Source organism: Homo sapiens, chromosome 6 (assembly GCF_000001405.40).
Source record: "Homo sapiens chromosome 6, GRCh38.p14 Primary Assembly".
Taxonomy (NCBI): Eukaryota; Metazoa; Chordata; class Mammalia; order Primates; family Hominidae; genus Homo; species Homo sapiens.
The window spans coordinates 11,934,030-11,961,002 of NC_000006.12; the positions used below are offsets into that span (position 1 = coordinate 11,934,030).

Genomic DNA, 26,973 nt, shown 5'->3' on the forward strand with positions numbered 1-26,973 from the left:
GGCAACCCGCTGAGGTCAAGCTTCGTTTTTTTTGCTTTTTACAATAAGTGTTGCTACTGCTCAGTCTTTGAGTCCACGCTACTTTTATGAGCTGTAACACTCACTACAAAGGTCTGCAGCTTCACTCTTGAAGCCAGCGAGACCACTGAGCTCACCGGGAGGAACAAACAACTCCGGACGCACTGTCTTAAGAGCTATAACACCGCCAAGGTCTGCATCTTCACTTCTGAGCCAGCGAGACCACGAACCCACCAGAAGGAAGAAACTCGGAACACATCTGAATATCAGAAGGAACAGACTCCAGACGCGCCACCTCAAGAGCTGTAACACTCACGGCGAGGGTCCGCGGCTTCATTCTTGAGGTCAGTGAGACCGAGAACCGACCAATTCCGGACACAATAGTTTAAAACAAGCAGGTTCTATATGCAAACCCTTCACCAATTTTTCAATTGCCCTTTAATTGCAAATTGTTTTCAAAGAAGGCTTTAACCTGGTGGCTCTTTCATTGGTTCCTTCTGTTCCTGAGCATCCTGTGAACATGTAGACCGTTCACATATTCATTTTTAAGCTAAAAATATTGAATTTCAGGAAAGGCCTAGCGAATTTGGGAAAATGTAAGTAAGGTAGAATCCAGTTTATGGGATAATTTTTGGATGCGAGAATACTTTTAAACCTTCACTTATGATTGTTATTGCACAAACGAGATTGGTCTGCCCTAGCAAGTCTCACCGAGGTTTTGCAACATATTTACAAGTACAAATCTGTGTGGCAAAGAGTACTTTTTGTACTATGGGCAGCTTTGATAACAAGCGGAGGTAGGAGGAACTCAATTTAGCCCTATCTGTAGTGCCTTCACAAAGAAAGCTCTTGCTCTTTGCCTTAACCTTCCCCACGTTCAATATAAGATAGAAAAAGGAAAGAAAGATTTACCTTGTACAGGCCTTTCAGAAGATAGACTGCGGAATTACAGAATGCCTAATGAGAAGCACAATTCTTTTCTCAGTGGTTTGTTGCTAAGAAGGATCCATTGTTCATTTTGTTGGAAGATATGAGATGCTTTTGACTACATCAGATCTATTTAATACATGACCTTTTCAGTGATTTCAGCAGTAGATACTCCTAAAGCATTATGAGACATCTTCCATAAACATTTTTTCTCCCCAAATCAGTTTTTAGAGTACTTTATGTATCTGTTACGACATCCCTAGTTTCATAAAAGTATATAATATCAGTGATCCAGCTGGTTAGAACCATCAGTACTTCACTTTTGATGAATTATTTTTTAGTCCCTTTCTATTCTTTTTATCCCCCACCTCAAAGGAACTTTCACATGATAGGTACTCAGCAGATGAAGGAATGCCCTGTATGGTAGCGTAGTTGAACATGACATGTCAATGAAGTATTTAAGATGATTCAGAGAGGTCTCTCTGGATGACATGCTCAAGGTAGGTGAGGTCCTTGGTATAACGGAGATCTCAACCTGTATCTAATGTGGTGAAGGGTAACACGGGACCATGGAGAGGGTAACACGGGACCATGGAGAGGGTAACACGGGACCATGGAGAGGGTAACATGGGACCGTGAGGCACCAAGAGGCAGACTGCACTCCATGACCCTGCTGCCTGTTGACATGCTGGGACAGGGAGGACCTAAAAACTCCATGTTCTCGGCTGGGCACGGTGGCTCACAGCTGTAATCCCAGCACTCTGGGAGGCCGAGGTGGGCAGATCACCTGAGGTCAGGAGCTCGAGACCAGCCTGGCCAACATGGTGAAATTCCCTCTCTACTAAAAATACAAAAATTAGCCAGGCGTGGTGGTGGGTGCCTTTAATCCCAGTTACTTGGGAGACTGAGGCATGAGAATGGTTTGAACCTGGGAGGTGAAGGTTGCAGTGAGCCGAGATCAAACCACCACACTCTAGCCTGGGTGACAGAGTGAGACTCTGTCTCAAAAGAAAAATGAAAACAAAAAACTCTCGAGATCACTCTAGAATTAGTTCTATTTTTTCCTGGATTTTTAACCTATAACATTGTTTTCTCTGAAATTTTATTTATTTCATTATATATTCATGTTTATATTTTATAGTTTTTTTCATCCAGGCATGAATGAACTAATTTATTCAACAGGTATATATATATATAAAATGTACCTACCATGCTATGAGATGGAAGGTCTGTTGATTTCGTTAACAACTAAAAGGTATATTTGATTCATGTGGTAGTCTAGACCCATGCTTGTATCTATGCATGAGCTATTTGTTTGTTCGCATATTTATTTAGTTTTAGTTGTCTGTATGGGAATTCATAATTGGCTTGAGGGCAGAAGCTGGTGTTCTGCTTACCTCTGTATCATAAGATCACGTAGATAGTAGGTGATTAATAAATGTTGAAATAACGTTAAACAAATTACACCAACTTTCTTAATGGAATTGAGACAAATTATAATTAAAAGGTTTATCCCATCAGTATCAAATTCAAAGTATCTGGGAAAATCTTGCAGAAGAAATCGGGAAAGATATTAAGATGTAGTTAGTGCAAATTTAGGCTATAAATTAGACTCTGAGCTTCCTGATAGCCAGAGTAGGAGGAAAATTTGCCAAGGTACATTGGAAACAGTGATAGGTCCTATATTTTTATTTTATTCTATTCTATTCTATTCTATTCTATTCTATTCTATTCTACCCTATTCTACCCTACCCTACCCTACCCTACCCTACCCTACCCTACCCTACCCTACCCTACCCTACCCTCCCCTCCCCTCCCCTCCTCTACTCTCTACTCTCCTCTACTCTCCTCTACTTTTGAGACAGAGTCTCACTCTGTCGCCCAGGCTAGAGTGCAATGGCACAGTCTCGGCTCAATGCAACCTCCGCCTCCTGGGTTCAAGTGATTCTCCTGCCTCAGCCTCCCAGTTAGCTGGGATTATGGGCACCCGCCACCGCGCCTGGCTAATTTTTGTATTTTTAGTAGAGACAGGGTTTCACCATGTTGTCCAGGCTGGTCTCAAACTCCTGACCTCATGATCCGCCTGCCTCAGCCTCCCATACTAATAGATTTTTATTATTATTTTACTACATTAGAGGCCTTTTCCATTTATAATTACATATTTTTTGGGATAATAAATATTGATTCCACAAATTACTTTTTTTTTTTGCATACACTGGGTACTTGTAGTAAAAAGGAAAGCATCGAATAATCTTATGAAAAAATAAAAGTTCATCTTTCTGAAAGTGAAACCTCCTTAGCCTTTTTAATTTAGAACTGATTAAATTCCTTCCCTGTTTGAGATTATAAACTTTACATATAAACTGTGCCTAAAGCAAACCAAAAGCCTACCCCAAACTCCTACCAATGAAAAATACGTAAGAAGAAGATCAAAATACCTGGAATGGTTGATTGACCCCTAGAGTAGATGTGGGCATTGTGTATAAGAAATTTTCCTCCAACAGTGATGTACAGTAACTTGAGAAAATACACCTAGAACCATTTATGAATTCTCAAATGAGGAAAATATCTAAACATTTCAATGAACAAAGAGCTTTGGTTGCTAATTAAGAACTGACAGTAGAGGTTTTTGATTTTTTTCTCCAAGATCATTTAATGTTCAGGTGATCCTAGGGAGGTCACAAACCTTGTGAAGCCTCAGTTTCTTAACCAGCAAAACGAGAATCATAATACCTGCCTCATAAGAAATCAATGCAGATCAATGAGATTATGTACATGGACAAAGTTTACAAATTATAAAGTTATAATTTTGGTCCTATAGATTCTAGCATTGACAGCAGTTAAACTTGAGTTGGGAAGTAGTCAATTTTTTGCAACCATGCATATATGATTAGTCAAATTCATGTAAGTATAACTAATTTCATCTGCTGCTGAGATCCACTTAATTTTTTTGCTCTGTAAATGGATACAATTTAAAAATGTATTGAGTTCAGTGGCTCAAATGAATCTGTATTGCCATTCTTACTACACAACTTGATTTTATATTTTAAAAGCTTGTCTTCTGTAAGAAGCATGAATTCACAGTGTCTCTCCATAGATTTAATACCTGTTTATGTACAATCATCATGCAGGATAGTCTTATGTGTGATGCAGTTCTTCTTTTTCCAGCATATTCTTTTCTTGGCATTATTTACACTTGGTCTGAATAAGCACATTTAGATAGCTTAATGGTACAAGTGATTACACCATGCTTTTGAGCTTTTATGAGGAAAATTGAAGTATATAATTATACTTTTGCACAAACTGGTTTGACTGTTCTCAAAACAAAACAAAAGAAAAACCCTGACTCTACTAATTTTTCAAATGGCTGCACCAGCATGTTTAGAAGCAATCAATCAGCAACAATCACATTTCAGATAAACCTCAAGGCTAAGATGTCACCAAGGCGAATAGGAGAAAATGATCGGCTCCAGTGGACGTGCAAAAACAAACTTTTTAAAGGAAAGCAAAGATCACAGAGTCCCCGATCCATTCCCTGGGGCTACACAGTGAAAGGATGGATGCTGGTGAGAGCTGGAGAAATGCTACAGAAGGAACCAAACTGTCCCTTCTGGTCTGCCAGGCTGGCACACAAACAGTGGAAGGGAGCAGTTGCCAAAGGAGCAGAGGCACAAGCTGGGACAGAGCATGAAGGGCTTGAGAGCGTCCAGTGGCAGGAAGACAGGGAAATAAGGAACTTCCTTATCCTGACAACATCTGAACCTCCCCCACCGCTATAGGGGGAGCAAGCCCAGCAGTCATGGTATCTGAACAACGCAGGCTGTGAACCTTGGCCAAGCCACTTTCCCTCCGGAGCACCTGCTGATCTCTTTTCTTGACAACTCCCTCTGTAAGGCAGGGGGTAGATGGCCCAACAATCTCCTGAGTCCTTGTCTCATTCCTTCATTCTCTTCCAGCTAGGGAGCAACTGCTGGGATTGCAAAGGTTTATTTATTTATGTATTTATTTATTTATTTTTGGTATTTCATTTTCTTTAATTGCTTGTGTCCAGCAAAAAAAAAAAAAAAAAAAAAAAACTCTATACTTCTATATGTAAAAAACCCTAAATATGGCTGGGAGCAGTGGCTCACGCCTGTAATCCCAGCACCTTGGGAGGCCGAGGTGGGTGGATCATAGTGAAACCCCCTCTCTGCTAAAAATACAAAAATTAGCCGGGTGTGGTGACACACACCTGTAATCCCAGCTACTCAGGAGGCTGAGGCAGGAGAATTGCTTGAACCCGGGAGGCGGAGGTTGCAGTGAGCCAAGATCGCACCACTGCACTCCAGCCTGGGCAACAGTGAAACTCGGTCTAAAAAAAAAAAAAACCTAAATATGGGATATCTGTTTCTGCATATACAAATAAAGTGTGTGACTTCTGGAGCCAGTTCCTTTCACGTGTATGAAGAGGGACAGAGATTAGTAATACTGCTTAAACGTGCTTACAGCCTAGTGCCAGGTGTACATATTCAGATTTTTTTATTTCTTAATTTGAGTAATGCCTTTTAAGCCACATTAGGTATTTCTTTGACAATAGCAAAAGGAAAAAAATATATATCATTTATGACGTTTCACAAAATCTCAGTCTCGCCATTTATAAAGTTCACAAGTTTACAAATGGCTAATAGAGATTCCCAAGAAATTACCTGATAATAAGAGTACTTACCTGTGACTCTTCAACAATATTCACTATTACAACAATATTCACTATTTTAAATTCCAGAAGTCATTGAAGTGCTAATTTTATAATAATACTCAGTCAAGGTATTTAGTAGCGTGGTGATAACAGTACTCGGGAATATCCTATTCATCCTCCTATTTCTTCCAGCCTCCTTGCAGTTAGACAGGGTCACATAACTGTTTCTGGCCAATGGATGTGAAAGGAAATGAAGTGTGTCACTTCCAGGCCAAGGCATGGAAAAACCTTGAGCAATTCTCTAGTTCTTTAAATCTGCAAGGTTGACAGAAGTCTATAAGATAATAGAGACTTTAGATTGAAGCAAGCTGCATTGCAAATCACTGCATTGGGCAGTGTTTCCCAGACCCATAGTGGACATTACCTGAGTGAGAAATAAGCTTTTACTGTATTTTTAAAAACCCTGAACTTTAGGAGCTGTTATTTACTGTAGCAAGCGTAGCCTGTTCTAATACAGAGAAGAATGGGTTTCAGTTTTGAGAGCTAACCAAAAATCTAGTTAGACTCTTAAACATTTCAACGTTTTAATTAAAGGCTTAGTAGCATGTATCAAGAACTGGAAGGCTTTTTCTACAAAGGACCAGAAAGTCAATATTTTAAGGTTGTGTAGGCCAGATAATCCCTCTCATAACTACTCCACTCTGCCATTACAGCATGCAAGCAGCCATGATAATTCATAAAGTAATGATCATGGGTATGCTTCAATTTTGTATTTATGAAAACGGGTAACAAGCAGAATTTGATGCACAGGCCACAGCTCACTTCCCCCTCTGATAGAGCATCACTGTTAAATGTAATAATCTTGGCCGGGCATGTAGGCTCATGCTTGTAATCCCAGCACTTTGGGAGGCCAAGGCAGGCAGATCAATTGAGGCCAGGAGTTTGGGACCAGCCTGGCCAACGTGGTGAAACCCTGTCTCTATTAAAAATACAAAAAATTGGCCGGGTGTGGTGGCAGGTGCCTGTAGTCCCAGCTACTGGGAAGGCTGAGGCAGGAGAACCACTTGAACCCGGGAGGCAGAGGTTGCAGTGAGACGAGATTGCGCCACTGCACTCCAGCCTGGGCAACAAGCGTGAAACTCTGTCTCAAAAAAAAAGTAGTAATCTTGAATACTTAGTGCTCTAGTTTCCCAGGGCTGCTGTAACAAAATGCCATTGGATTGCTTAAAACAACAAATATGTATACAATATATATTTATTATATTATTATATATTATATTTATAATAAATTATAATGTATTTATTAAATATATATAATAAATTATATTTATTATATTAATATATAATATAATATATTGATAATATAAATTATATAATATATAATACACACATACACATATATAAATATATGTATTTAATTTTTCTCATACTTCTAGAGGCTGTAAGTTCAAAATCAAGGTGTTGGCATAGTTGGTTCCTTCTGGGAATTTAGGGAGGCCGTGTGTTCCATGCCGCCAGCCTCACTTCTGATTGTTGCCAGCCACCCTTGGCTTGCGGCGTCATTACCCCAAACTCTGTTTCCGTGGCCGCCTTCTCCCTGTGTCTCTCCCTTCTTCTTTACAAGGATACCACTCATGTTGCATTAAGGGTCCACCTTTTTCTCCAGGATGATTCATCTTAACTAATTATATCTGCAACAACCCTATTTTGAAGTAAGGTCATATTCTGAGGTACTGTGGGTTAGGAGTACCCCAGTACTCCTATTTGTTGAACAACAAATCATTTTGGGGTACACAATTCAATAATGCTTGGCTTTTTAAAAAACATAAACATAATTAGTAAATGGACAACAATGCGAGTGAATTTTTTTTTTTTATTTCAATAGCTTTTGGGGTATGTGTGGGTTTTTTTGTTACGTGGATGAATTACATAGTGGTAAATTCTGAGATTTTAATGCACCAGTAACCCAAATAGTGTACATTGTATCTAATGTGCAGTTTTTATCCCTAGCCCCCCTTCCAGCCTCCCCCTTCTGAATGTCTAAAGTCCGTTACATCACTCTGTATGCCTTTGCGTACTCACAGCTAAGCTCCCACTTACAGGTGAGAACATACGGTTTTCGGTTTTCAACTCCTCTGTTACGCAAGTGAATTTTAAATGAGATCATGTGCCTTGGCTTTGTTCAGAGAGGTCAGTTCAATTACCTTGATGACAAGATTGAATTGTTCAGGTATCTAAGAGCAATGGAAAGAAAAACTGAGTTCATAAGTAAAATAACACATAGGACTTGGTAATGCACATTTACAATTCAGTATTATTGTTCAGGCTTCTATCTTTTCTAAATCATCGATTGATGCTTTAGATGAGAAAATTAAATTTGATTTACATATTTTATTTCTTAAGACTTATTAAAGCATGGGACTAATGAAATGATTATTTCTTAGAATCTGAATGCAGGCATCTATAACAATTTTTGGAAAAATACTCCACGATTTTCTTGGCAGGTTTTGGAACCTTGAAATGTGAAAAAGCAGCACACAGGTGCGCATTAAACAGGTGCTTTAGACAGTACGTATGAGTAGTTCAGAGGAAGGAGAGAGCACCAGGGCCAGTAGGGCTCCTACCTGGAGGAGGAGGCACCTGAGCTGTGCTCAGAAGGTGGCCAGTATTTGGATAGTCTAGCTAGAGAGCATCTGATATGAGCAAAGGCAGGAAATGACACGTTTGTAGGGAGGATCAGAGATAGCAGGAACATATAGGAGAAAACAGGAGTTATTATTGCTGAGTGGTTGAAACTGATATGAAAGACCTTGAATGTCAGCCTAAGAAGAGTTCAGATATTACACAGGTGAACAAGAGGTTTCTGAGCAAATAATACGATCAAAGCTGTGTGGCACCCTATACAAGATAAAAGAGGCAATGGATTGATGAGGGCTTATTACAATAGTCTAGTCATCACAAAAAGAGGTGCTGAGCAACATGACAGAGTGATGGGGTAGCATTAAATGAGTAGGATTGGATCAAAAGAAGTTTGATGATCTTGGTGACTGGAGTTATGAGACAGGGAAAATCATGAAGGAGAAAAAGATAACCCAATGTAGCAACAAGAGTGAGGGAGAAGAGGAAGAAGGCAGACATAAATACAAGGAAGGATCACAGGTCAAATTCCAGCTAATTACAATTAGAGTGAAGACTAATTCATCAATTCTATTTGAATTCGTCAAGATAGAATAAGGGGCCAGGCGCAGTGGCTCACTCCTGTTAATCTCAGCACTTTGGGAGACCGAGGCAGGCAGATCACCTGAGCTCAGGAGTTCAAGACCAGCCTGGCCAACATGGTGAAACCCCGTCTCCACTAAAAATGCAAAAATTAGCTGAGCATGGTGGCGGGTGCTTGTAATCCCAGCTACTCTGGAGGCTGGGGTAGGAGAATCTCTTGAACCCAGGAGGCAGAGTTTGCAGTGAGCCAAGATCGCGCCACTGCACTCCTGCCTGGACAAGAGCAAAAGTTCATCTCAAAAGAAAAAAAAAAGGATAAGGTATCCATGGTTACAAATAAACACCCATATTTCAATAGCTTAACACAACCAAGATTTATTATGTGTTCATGCTGTATATCCAGTGCTTATTAGACGGGAACTCGTTTCCACTGATTCATTCAGGTGGATCCAGGATAACGGGTATTGCACCATGTTGTGATGCTGCCACCTCAACATGGAGCTGTATGAGAGGAAGAAAGAGCATGTGCCACTCACATCACTCTTAACTGCATCTAGCCCATTTGCCAGAACTAGTCACATAGCCCCAACCCAATTGCAAGAGAGGTAATTGGAAAATTGGTAATTTTAAAAGGTAGGGGAAGCTCATGAACTATCTGGTCAGTTAGACCTGACCTGGGGAAAGAAGAGAAATTAAAAATGGGTTGAGTAATCAGATATGAACTAAGGAAGGAGGAAAAGTTTCAAATTGTTTGAAATCTTGGCATTTTGACATCACATTGTCCTGGACTTTCTTCCCTCTGGAAGAGACAAAGGACTCATTATCTGAGAGAGAAGCCAATAGTTCTAGGACATGCTGATACTTTACCAAGGTGCAGGAAGACATGGACCCACACAGCAAGGTTTGCAGAAGCAGTGGTGAAAAAAAAAAGTTTATTTTTCCTTGCACTCTGTAAAATCTATCTCATTCAATAAGCCTATACATGTAAATATCTCTGTGACACTAATACATAAGTCATAGGTTGGTAAATATGATTTACATTGTAAATAAAAATTCTAATATAATATTGAATCCTTGTTAATTATTTTCATTGGTGATTGATTTGATGGGTGATTATGTTTTTAGGAATTTAAAGTGTGTGTAATCAGATATCCATTAATTAAAACTATTTAAGTGAGTGCCTATATTTGAGTATCCACAGTACCCTACCAAAAATCTTTACGCTACTTTTTCAAGCCTTTTACATATGAGAGAAAGAAGCAGACAAATAACTAATCTTAAGACAGTGTGACAAGTGCTATAAAAGGAATGTAAATAGTAATATTAGATCAGAGAGTAAAGGTACATTACCTCCCCTCCGTGGAAAGATCCAGAAGGCCTCCCTAGAAGGTGATACTTAATCTAATGTTTGATGTTTTTATTTAACCATTAACCAGAATGGGTTGAAAAAGGGTGAAGGTTATTCTTGGAAGCAAAGCTATTTAACCCAAAGTCATGCAACAGAAGAACCCAACTTCTCAGAGAGCTGTAAATATCCAGCTTGGTAAGAGTATTAGGTAATATTCAGTGGTGATGGGGAATGAGACTGGAGGTACTCAGAACATAGATTGGAAATAGACCTGTGTGACATGTTAAGGAAACTGGAGAATGTTTTAAGCCATTGAGAGTAAAATAAAAGGATTATTGCTCTTATGTTTATATATATGTTTTAAAAATAGTATAATATTTTGTAAAAACCTTTTATATTGTCACTATCCAGAGAGAATTACTAAATATATTCTGGAGTATTTTCTTCCATTATTTACATATTTATACACTTTTTATCCTACTTCAATTTTCATATTCTACATTTTTACTTACTATTATACTGTATCTTCCAGCATCATTGAATAATTTCTGACAACATGATTTCTAATGAGTGACCAATATTACAACAAATGACTCTATTAATTTTGTTTAACCTTTCCTTTACTGCTAACAATTGGGTTGTTCCAAATGCTTTGCATAAGCATCCATGTATAAAAATCTTTTTAATTAAAAGTGCATTTTTATGCCTTTAAGATAGAGTTCAGGCTGGGTGCGGTGGCTCATGCCTGTAATCCTAGCACTTTGGGAGGCTAAGGTGGGAGGATCACTTGAGCCCAGAAGTTAGAGACCAGCCTGGGCAACGTGGCAAACCTGATCTCTACAAAAAAATAAAAAGAGCAAAATTAGCCAGATGTGGTGGAGTACGCCTGTAGTCCCGGCTACTCAGGAGGCTGAGGTGGGAGAATCACCTGAGCCCAGGGGGAGTTTGAGGCTACAGTGAGCTATGATTGCACGACTGCACTCCAGCCTAAATGACAGAGTGAGACCCTGTCTCAAAAAAAGAAGAAACAAAGAAAGAAAGAGTTCATAAATTGAATTGCTATGTCAGAATGAGTAAATTCTTTTGAGACTATGTTTTACTAATATCTAAATTTAATTCCACAAAAATTTTGCTTATTTACACCTTTCTGTCTTGCCTCAGTAGCAGTGTAAATATTCTATTTCTTTATAGGTTTATCAGTGAGACAAATTATTTGCTTTTATTAGAAAAGCTTGTTAGATTTTTTAATAAACTAAGTTTTTAATGGACATTTTAAGAGATAATCTTTGTTAAATAAAATTTGATTTTTTAAATAAAAGAATTTTTAAATCAAAGTCCAGTGAAAAAATGTTGAGGAGTATATACAAATGCAAGGAAGAAAAATTAAATAATTTCAATTCTATTTCCTATAACTAAGGACTGGCAACATATTGGTATTTAGCCCTCTAGTCTTTAAACTGTCTCTCATTAAATACGTTTAACAAAATTGAGACCTACTGGTTGTAAGTATATATTTTGCCTTTTTCATATACTGTAGAGCAAGTGTTGTATGAGATCATTAATTAGTCTTCAAAATATGGCTTGTAAGGGCTGCATAACATCTTATATGAATGGGCCGTTTTAAATAACCATTCCTGTATTATCGGCTAGTTGGTTTCGTTCTAATTTTTCATCTTCACATTAACATCTTTGTGCATGCTTCTCATGAATTCCTTGAGATAAATTGCCAAAATGGAAATGTTGAGTAAAAAGATTTGAACATGTTTTATGACTTTTAATTCATTTTGTAAAATGGCTTTTCAAAAAAATACTCATGAGTGGAATGAGAGGTATTGTTTCACAACATTCAGATCTTATTCATATTTTAAATTTTCCTATTTGACATGTAACAATTTTTAATTCTAATTTTATTATATATAATATTTAATAGCATTTTAGGTCTTTCTGAGCAATGTTTATTTGGTCATATTTTGAGGATTTAGTGCCTTTTTTTTTTTTTTTTTTGCTGTTCAAAGTCTTTCTCAAGACCACTAAGATTATTAACCATTTATCTGTAATAATTATTCACAGTGCTTGTTTACCCTGTATTTCAAACTGCTGAGTTATTGGATTTTACTTGTGTCTAAGTTGGCTATCATATATCTTTCAGTAAATTTTTTAGGAAGCGTACAGGGGTACTTTCTGAGCCTTTACACATATACAATATCCCTTCTGTTGCTATCACACGTGAATAACACTTTGCAGGATACAGAATTCTTACACTGCAATCTTTTCCTTCACAAATGTATAACTATTGTTGTTTGATATACAGAATAGTGGAGACAAAGTCTGAGGCTAGCCTTTGTATGTGTGATGGTTAATTTTATGTGTCAACTTGACTAGGCCACAGGGTATCCATTTATTTGGTCAACTCTTATTCTGGGTGTTTCTGTGAGGGTAGTTTTGGATGCACTTAACATTTAAATCACTAAATTGACTTGTTGCAAAATGTTCACTTCCTTTTGTGGATGAGCCTTATCCAATCACTTGATGGCCTGATTGGAACCCTCAAAATTTCCCTGAGTAATGGAGAGAATTCCTCCTGTGTGGTGGCCTCTAAACTGAGACATTGGTTTTTTCCTGCCTTTGGACTTGAACTAAAGTATCATCTCTTCCTGGGACTCACACCTACCAGCCTTCAGTTCATACTGGAACTTAAACCATTGGCTCTCCTGATTCTCCAGCCCACTGACTCAATTCCTTATAATAAATCTCTTTATACACACACACACACACACACACACACACACACACACTCACATCCTATTGAGAACTCTGAGATAGTATGTTACCATTACCTAGGTTTTTTCTTCTGCTTTCATGCCTATATAATTTATTTTCTTTATCTGTGAAATTAAAAAAATTTACTATTACCTAGGAATGGATTGCTTATAATCATTTTATTTGGAACTCAGAATGGTTTGAATGGGTGGGAAGTTGCAGGACCTCCTGCGTGAAAGCTGTTCTCTATGTGGAGTGCAGTGAGGGAGGTCATCCACTAGGAGAAAGGAGGTACTAAATTCTGTGACTTGATGCTGTGCCTTTAGAGTTCTCATCTCTGTTCTCTGTTCCTGTCAACCCAATTGTGTTGTTTACAATGCTACTTTTCTAGCTTAGTATTGGCCTTCCACTGCTTTGATTCAGATGTGGTCTAGGTCCAGCTCTCTAATCTGAACCCCTTGCCTTTTGCGTTTAGCAATCATTTTCCATATATACTCATGTGCTGCATAACAATGCTTTGATCAATGACAGACCACATATATGACTATTGTCTCATAAGATTATAATGGAGCTAAGAAATTCCTATCACCCAGTGACATCATAGCCATTATAATGTCATAACACAACACATTATTTCTATGTTTAGTATGTTTTGATGCACATATGCTTAACACTGATTACAATTGCCTAGCCTATTCAGTATAGCAACATATTGTACAACATCTTTGTAGCCCAGGAGAAATAAGCTGTACCATCTAGCCTAGGTGTGTAGTAGGCTTGTACCATCTAGACTTATGTAAATACACTCTATGATGTTTGCACAATGACAGAATTGCCCAATGGCATATTTCTTAGAACATATTCCCTTTGGTTAAGTGACACATGACTGTTTTTATGGCTTTTTTACCCAGACTTGGATTTGAGCACGAGAATTACCTTGTATGCACCTTTCACTTAGTAGGCTATTAGTTATTTTTGTTCTCCGGTTTAAATTAAAAATAAATTGTTATATACATATATGTATATATACACATAATACAGTATTATTCAGCCTTAAAGAAAAGATAGAAATCCTGCCATTTGGAACAACATGGATGAACATGAAGGACATTATTACTTTAAGTGAAATAAGCTAGACACAGAAAGACAAATACTGCACGGTTTCAGTTATATATGGAATCTAAAGGAAGTCAAATTCATAAAAGCAGAGTAAAATGTTGGTTGCCAAGAACTGGGGGTTGGGACAAATGTGGCGATGTTGGTCAAAGGGTGTTAAGATTTTGTTATGCACAATAAGTAAGTACTGGGAAATCTAATAGTGCACAGCATGGTGACTATAGTTAATAATAATGTATTGTATATCTGAAATGTCCTAAGAGAGTTCATCTTTAGTGTTCTCAACACACACACACAAAAACATAGCTATGTGAGATGATGAATATGTTCATTAGTTTGATTGTCGTAATCATTTCACAATGTATATGTATACCAAAACATCATGTTGTACATCTTAAATATACACAATTTTTATTTTTCAAGTATACTTTAATCAAGCTGGAAAAAAATAAATTGAAATGGCTATCAAATTTTCTCTCACTGCAAAAACACACAGTTACATATTTTTAGATCTCCAACTCCTTTGGATCACTATTGATAATAATCAAATTGCTGTCTCAGGCTGGCCATCAGGCTTTGTCCTTTTAAAAAACTGTATATATGCAGATAGGTATATAGAATTGTCATAGGCAAAGAGACAAAATTGCACAAAAATAAAAATCTTATTGAAAAATGTACCTATCCTAATGCAAATGTTTTCCAAGTGATTTTGTCAGAGATGTAAGAGAGAACACAAGTGGTTCAATGCTACTAAAATTCCGTAGTTGAAGATTTCTGTATAATTGCCTACAGCTTCATTCAACAATAAATATTTAGTAAGACCTACTATGTGTCAGGCACTGTGGCATGTGAGACTTATCAGTGGTCATATCCATACAGATTTTTGAATTTATGCCGCCAAAGCCTGCTACCTGCATAATACACAATGAAAACCACATATTGCTGAATGTAATTTAGTATTCTATCATTCACAATAAAATTACTGCTTTACACAGATGATATTATGCTTCATAATTACTAGAGACTTGAGTGGCTACAATCAATGTAACTGTTACATATTCAAAACACATTTTGTAGCTTATCGCTTCTCATTGTTAGGGTTGTTTTTGTAACTCATATCTCTTATGTTCTGCACAGTGTAATCCATACATAGGTATGTGCACACATCTATACATAGCCGCATTCCCTGAAAAATAACTTGGAGTCCTACATAACTCTATAGAGAATTCTGGGAGCTCCTGTTTACACACAATGCCCTATGTTCCAGGAATGTTGGTTCTTATGGTTCTTCATATTTACTGAGCTTATTTTCTTCTATCCAATTTCCACCTCACTCCTGAGGCTGTTAGGCAGCACCTAGCTGTTTCCCACCCATTTACTTTTATTCATGCATCAGTTACTCAACCAGTCAGTAACAAATATTTCCCACAAGCCGTGGACCACAGAACTGGATCTAGAGACACGTACAAGGCTTAATCTTCGCTCACAAGAACATCATTGTTCAGTACCATCCAGGAAGGCTGTTCTCTTGTGTGCTGGATGCCATGGCCTGAATGTTGGTGTCCCTGCAAAATTGCTGTGCTGAAATCCAACTCCTAAGGTGATAGCATTAAGAGGTGGGGTCTTTGTGGGGAGTGATTAGGTCATGAGGGCTCTGCCCTCATTCATGGCATCAATGCCCGTGTAAAAGAGGCCTGAGAGAACCTATTTGTCTCTTCCACCATGTGAGCACACATAGAGGGCACCATCTATGAGGACTGGGCCCTCGCCAGACACTGAATCTGCCGGCACCTTGATCTTGAACTTCTCAGCCTCCAGAACTGTGAGGACTACATTTCTGTTGTTTATAAATTGTCCAGCCCAAATAAAGTATTTTCTTATAGCAGCCCAAACAGACCAAGACACTGGATATCAATGGGCCTGAAGCAATGGATGATCCAATCACTGAAAAATTGCCTTAGACATCGATAGCAATAACTCTATGCTGTAAAGAGAGAGGAGACAGTTAATAATGGATTTTTAATTGCTGGAATCTGAGCCTTAGGAGACAGAAGAAGAAAAGAGTATAAAAGAAGGCAGCTGGTCTTGTGCTTGGGGAAAGAAAAGGAGAAAAAAAATCTGTCATTGCGGAAACACTTCTACAAGGTAAAGCAGTCTCTTAATCCTGAGGCTGGAACTCAAAAATAAAGACAAAACATTGAGCAATACCTCAACACTCTCGTCATTCCTGTTAATAGGCTTATAATAAATCCAGCTGGACCAGCCCAAAGATTATTCTTCCAGAAAGAGCAGAGCAGAGCTGCACATGGAAATAAGCCCTCTATCTTCTGATACCTCAGTCTCCACATCACTCTAAAATTAGCCTTTAAGTCCTTCCTGTAAAAGTGGTATGATTTCCATGATAACAAATGATAAAACAATCCACCTTTGTAAAAACAACAACAACCAAAAACAATTACAACCACCATTTTGTTAGCCTTTCATTAAAAATTTGAATTTAAGAGACTTAAAGCCAGAACAATGCTGAGAGCCTACTTGTACTCTAGTGGAAACTTGTTGGTAACAGACCCTTATTTGATATTTCAAGTAAAATGTAGCTTGAAATCAAGCTGAGGGGAGACACTACAAAAGCAAAAGTCAGAAAGCTTGGAGCTTCATGGTTCCAAAAGCCAACTCAGCCTGCATCACAGTTTGGTCCTTACACTATGAACTGTGAATTGTGTATGGACATGTAGAAGCTGGGTCAGAAATATTTTAAATCACAAGTTCTGGCTGCTTATTGGAAATATTGCTAAAGAAGTTGTATTCATCTGCTCAAGTAGTCACACCAAAATACCGTAGACTGTGTGGCTTAAGAGAAACTTATTTCTCACTATTCTGGAGGCTGAAAGTATAAGATCAAGGTTCTGGCTGATTCAGTTTCTGGTGAGGGCTCTCTTCCTGGCTTGCAAGTGGCCATCTTCTTACTGAGTTCTCACATGGCAGAGACAGAGAAATAAGTCTTTCTATTCCTCTTCTTAAAAGGCTACCAATCCTATCAGACTAGGGCCCCACCCTTATAACCACATTTAACCTTCATTACCTCCTAAAAGCCCTATCTCCAAATACAGTCACACTGGGGTCTAGGGCTTCAACCTATGAATTTGAGTTGGGGGGACATATATCAAGACTGACTACTCGTAGATTATTTTAGCCCTGCATGTTTAATCATATTTGTAGATAGCACTGTTGAAAAATACAGAAAAATTATGATAATGAGTTACATTTTACTTGAAATAGCTTAGAATCTTAGCAAGTCCTTTTTGATATAAATTGTGGAGGGGTCAGTCACTTAGGTCTATTTCAGAGAGAAACTTTCTAAGAAATTCTCTAAATAAGATTCTTTGGTAACAAAGTAAAATGTTACCTGACTTCTCATCCCAGTATCTCAATTTTTTCCTAGGGCAAAATCTTTTTCCCTTGAAGACTGGAAATATTATCCATGTTGTCCTCCGGAATATTTTCAATGACTTGTGCCCTGCCAGCTCTAGCTTTTGAAGGGTCTACACTCATCATCAACAGGTAGACTGGTTTTTACAAATGTTTTTACCATAACTTCATTTCCTGTTTCAAATGTGAAATGGATCAAAAATGAGAAGAGTAGTGACATAGTAAAATTGATAGGACCCATTTCAGAATGTCATTTAGACACTCTGGGAACTATTCTTTTCTCACCATGAGGCCACTTGATGTTAATGTGAGTCGTGGGAACAATTTAAGCATTCAAAATCCTTGTAAATTTAAAGAGAAACTTTCTCATCTTAACACATTTGAAAAGAGAAAACACATAAAATATAATCGATTTGGAGTATAATTTTAAGTTCAATTATTATTGCAAACATATGTGTATAAATCAGTTCTTCACAACCCTCCACAATTCCCCTTGGTGCATTCCTCAAAATAACAGCATCTGGGGTTTTTGTTTTGTTTTGTTTTTGCTTTTGTTTTTGTCTCAAGCTCGCTTGTATTGTTATAAACATTTTTACTTTGTTGGACTGAAAGAAAGAAAACATCCTCTGAGAACTATTTTTGTCGTTGACAAATAAGAAAAGGGATTCAGTAAAGTAACAACCATAAAAAATCAGTATATTTTCTAAAAAAGATTTATTATAATGTCTTCTGCAATATGAAGACCCCTTTTAGAGTGTACTACTTATGCTGTGGTAAGAAGGTTTATTTTGTAATTAAGCAGCAAACCCTTCAATGTTTTGTGAGGTGGCAATTTTATAGATCTCCTTTTCAATCAAACAACTCAGAAATAATTTCTAGTTCTTTAAGACACACAAAGCAAGATCATATTTTCCACATTTTGATGTTTATAAATATCTTGAATCAGGATAAAAATTCATGACTAACTCATATCCCCAGAGTGTAGTCTTGGTTACAATAATACCACATACTCATCTCCACTTAAATATTTCATTATAGATGACGTGAAGTTAAAAATATATCAAATGCAAAAGGATGGAGAAAAAATTCGGAAGGGTAACTATGCAAGTCTGAAACTGGGGAGAAGTATTTGATTTGAAGAAGATGAGGATTATCTGTGAGATGACTGTAGATGCATGAAATCTTTTTAACTTTCCTTGGAAATAGCTAGGCTCTTCTACCAGCTTTCAGAGCTCCTAAAACTCAAGGCAATGATCCAATTTACCATTTCCTAGGTCTTGTTCTAGCCAAGACAAAAGAAAAAAAAATGTGTCTAGAACATGAATTAAGATTTAGGAATTTGGCTGGGTGCAGTGGCTCACACCTGTAATCCCAGCACTTTGGGAGGCCAAGGCGGGTGGATCACCTGAGGTCTGGAGTTCAAGACCAGACTGGCCAACATGGCAGAAACACCATCTCTACTGAAAAATACAAAAACTTAGCCAGGCATGGTGGCTGGCGCCTGTAATCCCAGCTACTCAGGAGGCTGAGGCCAGGAGAATTGCTTGAACCCAGGGGATGGAGGTTGCAGGGAGCCGAGCTCATGCCACTGCACTCCAGCCTGGGTGACAGAGTGAGATTCCATCTCAAAAAAAAAAATTAGGAATAACAAATTATAAATATAGTAAAATAGAATTGCTGAAATTCTACAGATACATGAACTCAACAGGGTGTCACCAATTATGAGCTGATTTCCAAGTTGATTGTTTGGAAACAATTTCCCACAGCAATAACAATACATGTGGAATTTAAATTTCAACCCACAAGATATATACATTGTGTTATTAACAGTTAGTAGAGCCTGATCATCACGTGTGCCATTGTTTTATGGGAAAACAAATTTCACGTTTCAATTCCCAGATGCTTCATGAGCACCTCTTTCCATAGCCCACTTTTTAGTGAGAATAAACTCTTCTTTTCTCCAGCCTCAAAGGAAATCCGAATCCTAAGGCATCATTAAAACAGGATCCCAAATCTCCATAGCAGAGGAGAGATGAGACACTGAAGCAGTTTAAAGATCGGGTTTTCAATGCGTGACATATAACTGTCCATTTTCAGGCTGGAAAAATGAATGGCTTTCTAGGAGGCATACTGTTCAACTCACCTTTACAACTTTCAATCACTGTGGCTGAAATAGAGTCATGAAAGACAAGATGTTGATAATACTTACAAGAGAAAGAAGAAATAAAATCCCTACTTTACGTCTACTTCCTGTAACCAGATCTGAAAACCTCAGTGACCTCTGTGGATTAAGCTGTATTTATAATTGTGGAAATTAGACACGGTGATGAAACACTGGTTCTTCCATTTTCCAGAGGCTGTTTTAACACCACATGAGTGGGGTGTCTAATTTTTCTGACCTTTGGTTATTTTATTCATACAAGCCATGCTCACCAAATGCCTTACTGTGTTAACTAGAATGGCTTCAGTTAAATAGCAACAGTGGAGAAAAAAATAAATTAATGCCTCTTCTCAGCAGTGACCTGACATTACACTTCCTGCCTTTTCTAAACTCTCCTGTAAAATATATACAATATTAAAATTTAAAATCCTGACATTTATAATTCTTCTAGTAATTTGTTTCTTTCTTCTGGCAGCTTAATCACTGCGGGCCTGGATTTTCTCACTTGTAAAATAAAGGAATTATGTCAAATAATATCCGAGGGTTTTTTAAAATAAAAATGTCCATAATACTACTTAAGTTTATACTGGGATTGAACAAATATGTAAATATAATGTGGACAATGAAAGTTGGGTTTTTCACTTTTGGAGAAAAAAAGTTACAAATAAGGAAAGGGGGGAGAATAGAATGAACTGTGTGGTATGGTATTAAAACTAAAGGTATTAGTATGAATTCATGGTTTATGTATATATATATGTGTATGTGTGTATGTGTATACATATATACACATGTAAATATATGTGTATATATGTGTATAGATGTATATGTGTATACATATGTATGTATGTGTATATATACGTATATTTACATATGTAAATATACGTGTATATATGTGTATATGTGTATACATATGTATATATGTGTATACATATGTAAATATATGTATGTAAGTATATATATATATGGATAGACAAAGATATATAGGTATGTGCTTATGCACAGATTAATATACAAACATATTTCCTAGCTCTGTCTGCTGAAAAAACCTAGAAACGACAAACTGGTAGCAATTAGCATACCTAGAGCCAAGATATTGGTTCTAAATATGATTCTCTGATAAAAAGAATAACAACTTCTTGGAGAAATTGTTGATTTAGGGCTCTGGCAGGGAAGATATAAGATAAGCCCAGAACATCTTGTGGTGCCAAAAAATAAAGACATGTTTGAAAAATGATAGAGCCATGTCAGAAGAACAGAGGAGCCAATTTGTAAGAATTCCCAATGGCCAAAGCTGGAACAATTTGAGTGACAAAATAAATAATGATAATATCAGATTATAACCCATGAAATAAACTAAATATCTAAAAGTCTATACTTATATCAATCAATCAATAGGGAAGAAAAAGATACTCCTCCTTACAATAGAACTTCATTTCACAGACATAAAAGAAATGAGGGACACATAAAATGACCATTAGGCAAACACAAGAACAACCCCAGAATGATAAAATTATTGGGCAAAACCATGAAAAGAAAATGAGATGAATATTTGCATAGCATTAAAGTATCTTCCCACAAGATATTTATTAATTGAAAAGAGAACATCCTAATTTTACTCTGGAGAAACACAGCAAACACCACCTTTATATAGTATTGAAAGTTAACATCATCAGTTATAAGACAGCAGCATCGTGTATGTCTTGGTGTGTTACACTGAGGACACAGTATCATTCCTGCATTCATACCAGAAATGCATCATCTCAATCTAATGCTGAGAAAATAACACACAAATGCAAAATAAGGGACAGTTTACAAAATGACCCAGGAGCACTCTTCAAAAGTATCAAGGCCATGAAAACACAAGGAGAGAGAAATTGTCACAGGTGAAAGGAGATTAGGAGATATGACAATTAAATACCATATAGTCCAGGATCCAAACAGACACTAGTGAAAAAACTGGTGAAATGTGAAGGTTTGTGAAGTAATTAATTGTGTCTCATCAATATTGATTTCCTCCTTTCCATAATTGTGTTGTGGTTATATAGGATGTCTATGTAAGTGGAAGGTAGGTGAAGATAGACAGGAATTCTCTGGAATATTTTTGCAACTGTTTTCTAAGCCTAAAATTATTTCAATTTTAAAAGCGCAAAAAGGATTGAGTTGTAATAATTTGCAGATTTTAATCAATAACATTTATTTCACAAGTACTGATAGAATGACTTCCCTCTGCTAGGCACTGTACTAAGAGACATCTAAAGATGCACAAGACACACACACACACACACACACACACACACACACACACACACACACACTCTTCCAGTTATTTTAAGCAATTCTTAATCACTAATATTAAGACAAGCATTCTTATTTTTCCAGAAATGAGAACCAAACATCTCTAATTATAATGGTGGTCTTATGACAAGAGTAATTAAGATTAAACATACATCAAATTATCTATAAATTTGATGTAATTCCAACTTTAAAATCCTCACCAAATTATATAGGCCTTCATAAATGGATTCTGAAGTTCATTTGGAAGATAAAATATGTTAAGAATAGCTAAAGGAATTTTAATAACTGGCCCTAGGAAATATCAGAGCATACTTGAAATCTATAGCTATTAAAATGGTAACATAGGAGCACAAGCAGACATCAATGGAACATGATGAAGGGCCAGAAACAGACTTATCTCTCTATGATAATTTAGTAGAGGATATTGATGATAATTTCATCTAGTGAAGAAACAGTTTGCTATTCAATAAATGGTATTGGCATAATTTGAATCCTTTGGGAAAAAATTAAGGTCATTTATTTACTCAACAGATATTTAAATGCTCACATGTTTTGGAAACAGGAATTTGATCTCTAACCAACTCCATGTACAAAAATAAATATCCAATATCATAAAGAGCTAAGTCATTTTTTAATCTATAAAATGTATTAAGATAAAACACGGAAGAACTTTTTTTTTAAATAATTTTAACTTTTATTTTAGATTCTGGGGGTTCATGCACAGATTTCTTACCTGGGTATATTGTGTGATGCTGAGCTTTGGAGTTCAACTGATTTCATCACCCAGGTAATGAGCATAGTATCCAACAGTTAGTTTTTCAACCCTTTCCCCCACCTTCCCTCCTCTATTGGTCCCCAGTGTCTATTGTTGTCATCGTTATGTCCCCAAGTACTCAATGTTTAGCTCCCATTTATAAGTGAGAGCATGCAGTATTTTGTTTTCTTTTCCTGGCTTAGCTTGCTTAGGATAATGGCCTCCAGCTGCATCCATGTTGCTGCAAAGGACATTATGTCATTCATTTTTCATGGCTGCATAGTATTCCATAGTGTCTATTACCACATTTTCTTTATCCAGTCCACCACTGATGGGTATCTACATTGATTCCACGTTTTTGCTATTATAAATAGTGCTGTAACGAACATATGAGTGTGTATGTCTTTTTGGTAGAACAAATTATTTTCTTTTGGATATATACTCAGTAATGGGAATGCTGGGTAGAATGATAGTTTCATTTCAAGTTCTTTGAGTAATCTCCAAACTGCTTTTCATGGTGGCTGAATTAATTTACATTCTCACCAACAGTGTATAAGAGTCCCCTTTTCTCTGCAGCCGTTCCAGCATTGTTGTTTTCTGACTTTTTAATAATAGCTAGAGGATAGTTTTTATCATCCTGAGTTGGGAAAGCGCTTTCTACCTAGCATTAAAAAATCTGCAAGGTCTAAGGAGAAAAACTGAAAAATGTAATTTCATAAAATTTTAAATGTTTACAGATAAAATATACCATAAACAAATTAGAAGATGTGGAACAGGCTGACAGCATTTAAATGTGTATAAAAGATCGATTAGAATATAAAATAAATAAAAAGTTTCTATAAATAAAAAGACAGAAAAATGGGGAAAGAATATAAACTGGCAATTTATCAAAAAAAAGTCAACGGGAAATGTATATACTCAACCTCTTAATAAAGAAATAAATACAAATTAAAACACTACTGAGATGCTTTCACCAAATTGGCAAAAGTGTTTGAAGATTATTCCTACTCAGGGTTGATTGTATGAACATGAAATCAAAAACTCAGATTGTTGCTGTAGATGAGATGCACATAACTTTTGACCAAAGAACTTGATTTCTATGAACCTACCAAAATACTCAAATGTGTACAAAAGAAGCACGTACAGGAAAGGTCATTTGAACTGTTTGTAACAGCAAATTACTGGAAACAGCATTAATATTCCTTAAAAGGAGAATGGTTAATAAAAAGCTACAGAACATCCAGGCATTGAAATACGTTTCAGTTATTAAAAAAAGAATGAGATAGTGTTACATGTATAGATATGGAAAGATCTTCAATATATTTTGCTGTGTGTGTAACAAACAAGTTGCATATCAGTTGATAGAGTATGATTACATACATATATTTGCATGCATACATAGATACAGACAAAGGAGAATTTACATACTTTAATTTAGATTTGTTTCATGTAATTCTTGGTTTGAATTTTTACATGGGGAATATATTCATTTATGATATATGGAACTAAAAATATAAAGTAAAAAATAAGCTTCTGTATGATTTAGAGCAGCTTTATGTAAATATAGCTGTTCGGTTCAACTTTTAAGATCAACCTTAAAAGGGGGAAAAATGGGCTAAAAGTAGAATATGCAACCAAAAATATGTATTCCTTGGTTTAATCTAGGATTAAACTAATCTTAGATTTAATCTAAGATTAAATTAAGGAAAAGGTTCTTTTGGTAAAGCTTGAAAATATGAATGAACACAGTTCATTGAGCTATATAGGTCAGGTAAATTGATGGAAGGAATATCTATATAATTTTATGTTGGAAGGCAAAATAGGGAGGAAGAGGCCAGTGGTCCACACAGCTCCCATTAATAGCCTAGCTGTTCACATGGTGTGTTCTGTGGACTCACACAGCCACACTCCTAGAGTTCACTAAATTGGAATGGTAAAAGCAAAACAAATTTAATTATGTGAATGCATTTCTTGTACACATGGAAGTAAATATTAGACTAAATTAAGAAGCAAGATATCAGTTCTACAAAGCCAGGTGTAAATAAACTATTAAGTAACATGAAAATTAGAGAGTAAGACTGCAGAACCAACACAAAACTAGAGGAAATACTTGAGAAGCAGTGGATGATGATGAAGCTATGATCGCACCATTTAAAAGCAAGCCTTTGAATTCCATAAGAAAACCCATGGGGGGAAGTCTAGAAACAGAATTCTCCAGCCATCCACCCATTGCTCAAACCAGAAACTGGGGATCATATTTTCTATTTCCCTTCCCTCTCCCTCACATCTTATCCAATAATTCAACTTCCAAAACATCTCTCCAGTCATTCTACTGAGTTCTACCTTCCATGCTTGGTCCCACCACTGACACGTCTCACCAGGACAACCACAATGACCTCCCAACCTTCTCTCAGCCTTCACTTCTTTCCCCACGGCCCATCCACATAACAACCACAGCGATCTTTTAAAAATTTAAATAGCCTTGTCCATTTCTGTTTAAGGGAATTGTGCTGCCTTGACCCTCAAGACAGCAGTTCTCGCCCAGACACACTCTCATTCTCCACCTTCTTCGTCAGTTGCTCTCCTTACTTTCCAAGCCAGCGCTGCTTCCTTTCCCTGTCCGCTTCCCTCCTCAGAGACTTCATGCTCACTTTCCCCAGATTTTTACTGCATTGATTCCTTCTCATCATTCATGCCTCAATTTAAATATTTATCAGTGACTGCTTCCCTGATCACACAATCTAAAATAGCCCCATTTCCATCATTTTGATCCCTGATCTTTCCCTTTATAGCACTTACAGACATGTATAATTATATATTCACTTGAGTGTATGCTTGTTTAATGACCCCTCCCCCAACCCCCACTTTCCCGTATAGACTGAAGGGAGGCAGGAACCGTGCCTGTCTCGTCTTCTATTATGTTCCCAGTGCTGAGCCTTGTATCTGGCATGCAGTAGGTGTTCAATGAATGAATGAGTAAACAAGCCAGAATAATCGGACCCAGAAATATGCTGAAGGGATATAAATGCCTAGCAAGAAGAAGGTTAGTAGGAATAACTATTATTTGTGTGATTTCAAGATACTAATGATGATATAGGGATAGATATAGGGCCCTTTTGGGAAGCCAAATGGCTGCACAAACAGTGTGGTAGGAACACAGTGTGGCCACTGTGTCTGCGCTGCACTGATTGGATCTAAGGATAATTTTGTAAACGCACCCATGGTGATTAGCAATTGGCTCATACTGAATAAACTCCTGACAGATTTATGTGTGCACTGCAATGCCAACTTATTAATTCATAATAATAATATAACAAGTCAACATGCAGCTCAATCACCACCTATAGGAGAGAGACAGGTAGCTAAATTATATCCAAATGATTAACTGCTCAGAAAAGATTCCTGGTCACAGATTACTATGCAGCTGAGATACCATCACCTTAGTCTAAGCTACCGTTGTCTTATGTCTGGTTTCTTGCAACAGCCTCCTGACTGTTCTCTGCACTGCCTGCCTCTCAAATCCATAAGGCACCCAGCAACAAAAGTGTTCCTTTTAAAACGCAAATCCAATCAGGTCCCTCCTCTATTCAAAACCCTTCAGTAGCTCCCCATTATATGAGAAGGAGCTCCAGCCCTGACTTGTGGTTTGTAAGGTTTGGTATGATCAGGCCCCTGCCTCCTCTCCAGCCTCATCAAGTGCCCCTCTCCCCAGCACTCCAGACTCCCCAACACAGAGGTGTGTGTTCAGATTTGAGAGTCTGACTATAGAAATGGGCAATGGCTAGATCATAAATAAAAACAGAATTCTGACCCTCAACCTGCAGCAACCAGCCCAGGAAGCCAGCCCATTATCCAGAGGAACCAACCAAGGAAGCCAGCCTGCTCTCTAGAAGCTAGACTTGTAGGAAGCCAGACCACTGTCTCTAGCAACTGATCCAGGAAGACAGAAAAGAACACCTCAATAACAGGACCAAAGTGGCCAGGACTTGACTGATGAGTAACTGACAGCTTCCCTAATTTTTGGCCCTACTTCCAACAGAAGAACAACCAGAGAAAGCCAAGTATGCACCTGATGCCCCACTTCCAGTGAGCCGCCTCCAGCTTCCCACGCCAACAGCTTCCAATCAGCACACTTTCGGAGCCTTCCCTTTTCTCCACGATGAAAGCTTCCCCACTCCTCTGACTGCCTTTGAGCCTCTGCCAAAACTCAAGTGATGGTAGCCGACTCCCTGCTACCGCAAGCTTGGAATAAACAGCCTTTGCTTTTCTCA

General features: G+C 37.4%; 1 long non-coding RNA gene across 3 annotated transcripts, besides 2 other annotated features; it reads left to right on the forward strand.

Annotated features, from left to right (window-relative positions):
• On the forward strand, positions 1-26,973 carry LOC107986570 (uncharacterized). Of its 3 annotated transcripts, none has more exons than XR_001743976.2 (4): positions 1-362; positions 17,506-17,624; positions 22,652-22,735; positions 26,527-26,973. It is a non-coding gene; the product is annotated as an uncharacterized LOC107986570 (long non-coding RNA). The 3 variants fall into 3 exon arrangements; XR_001743975.2 differs by lacking the exon at positions 1-362 and adding an exon at positions 10,017-10,382; XR_001743977.2 differs by lacking the exons at positions 1-362; positions 22,652-22,735; positions 26,527-26,973 and adding exons at positions 10,011-10,382; positions 19,457-20,088.
• Positions 1,600-1,822: a silencer, noted in NCBI's record as "fragment chr6:11935862-11936084 (GRCh37/hg19 assembly coordinates)". NCBI's record gives its function as "represses an EF-1alpha promoter that drives an FKBP-Casp9 reporter gene in an ReSE screen in phorbol 12-myristate 13-acetate-treated (for megakaryocytic differentiation) K562 erythroleukemia cells {active_cell/tissue: K562(+PMA)}" and the evidence as "EXISTENCE:reporter gene assay evidence [ECO:0000049][PMID:32094911]".
• Positions 4,524-4,583: an enhancer, noted in NCBI's record as "active region_23999". NCBI's record gives its function as "activates an Ori minimal core promoter by ATAC-STARR-seq in GM12878 lymphoblastoid cells {active_cell/tissue: GM12878}" and the evidence as "EXISTENCE:reporter gene assay evidence [ECO:0000049][PMID:35858748]".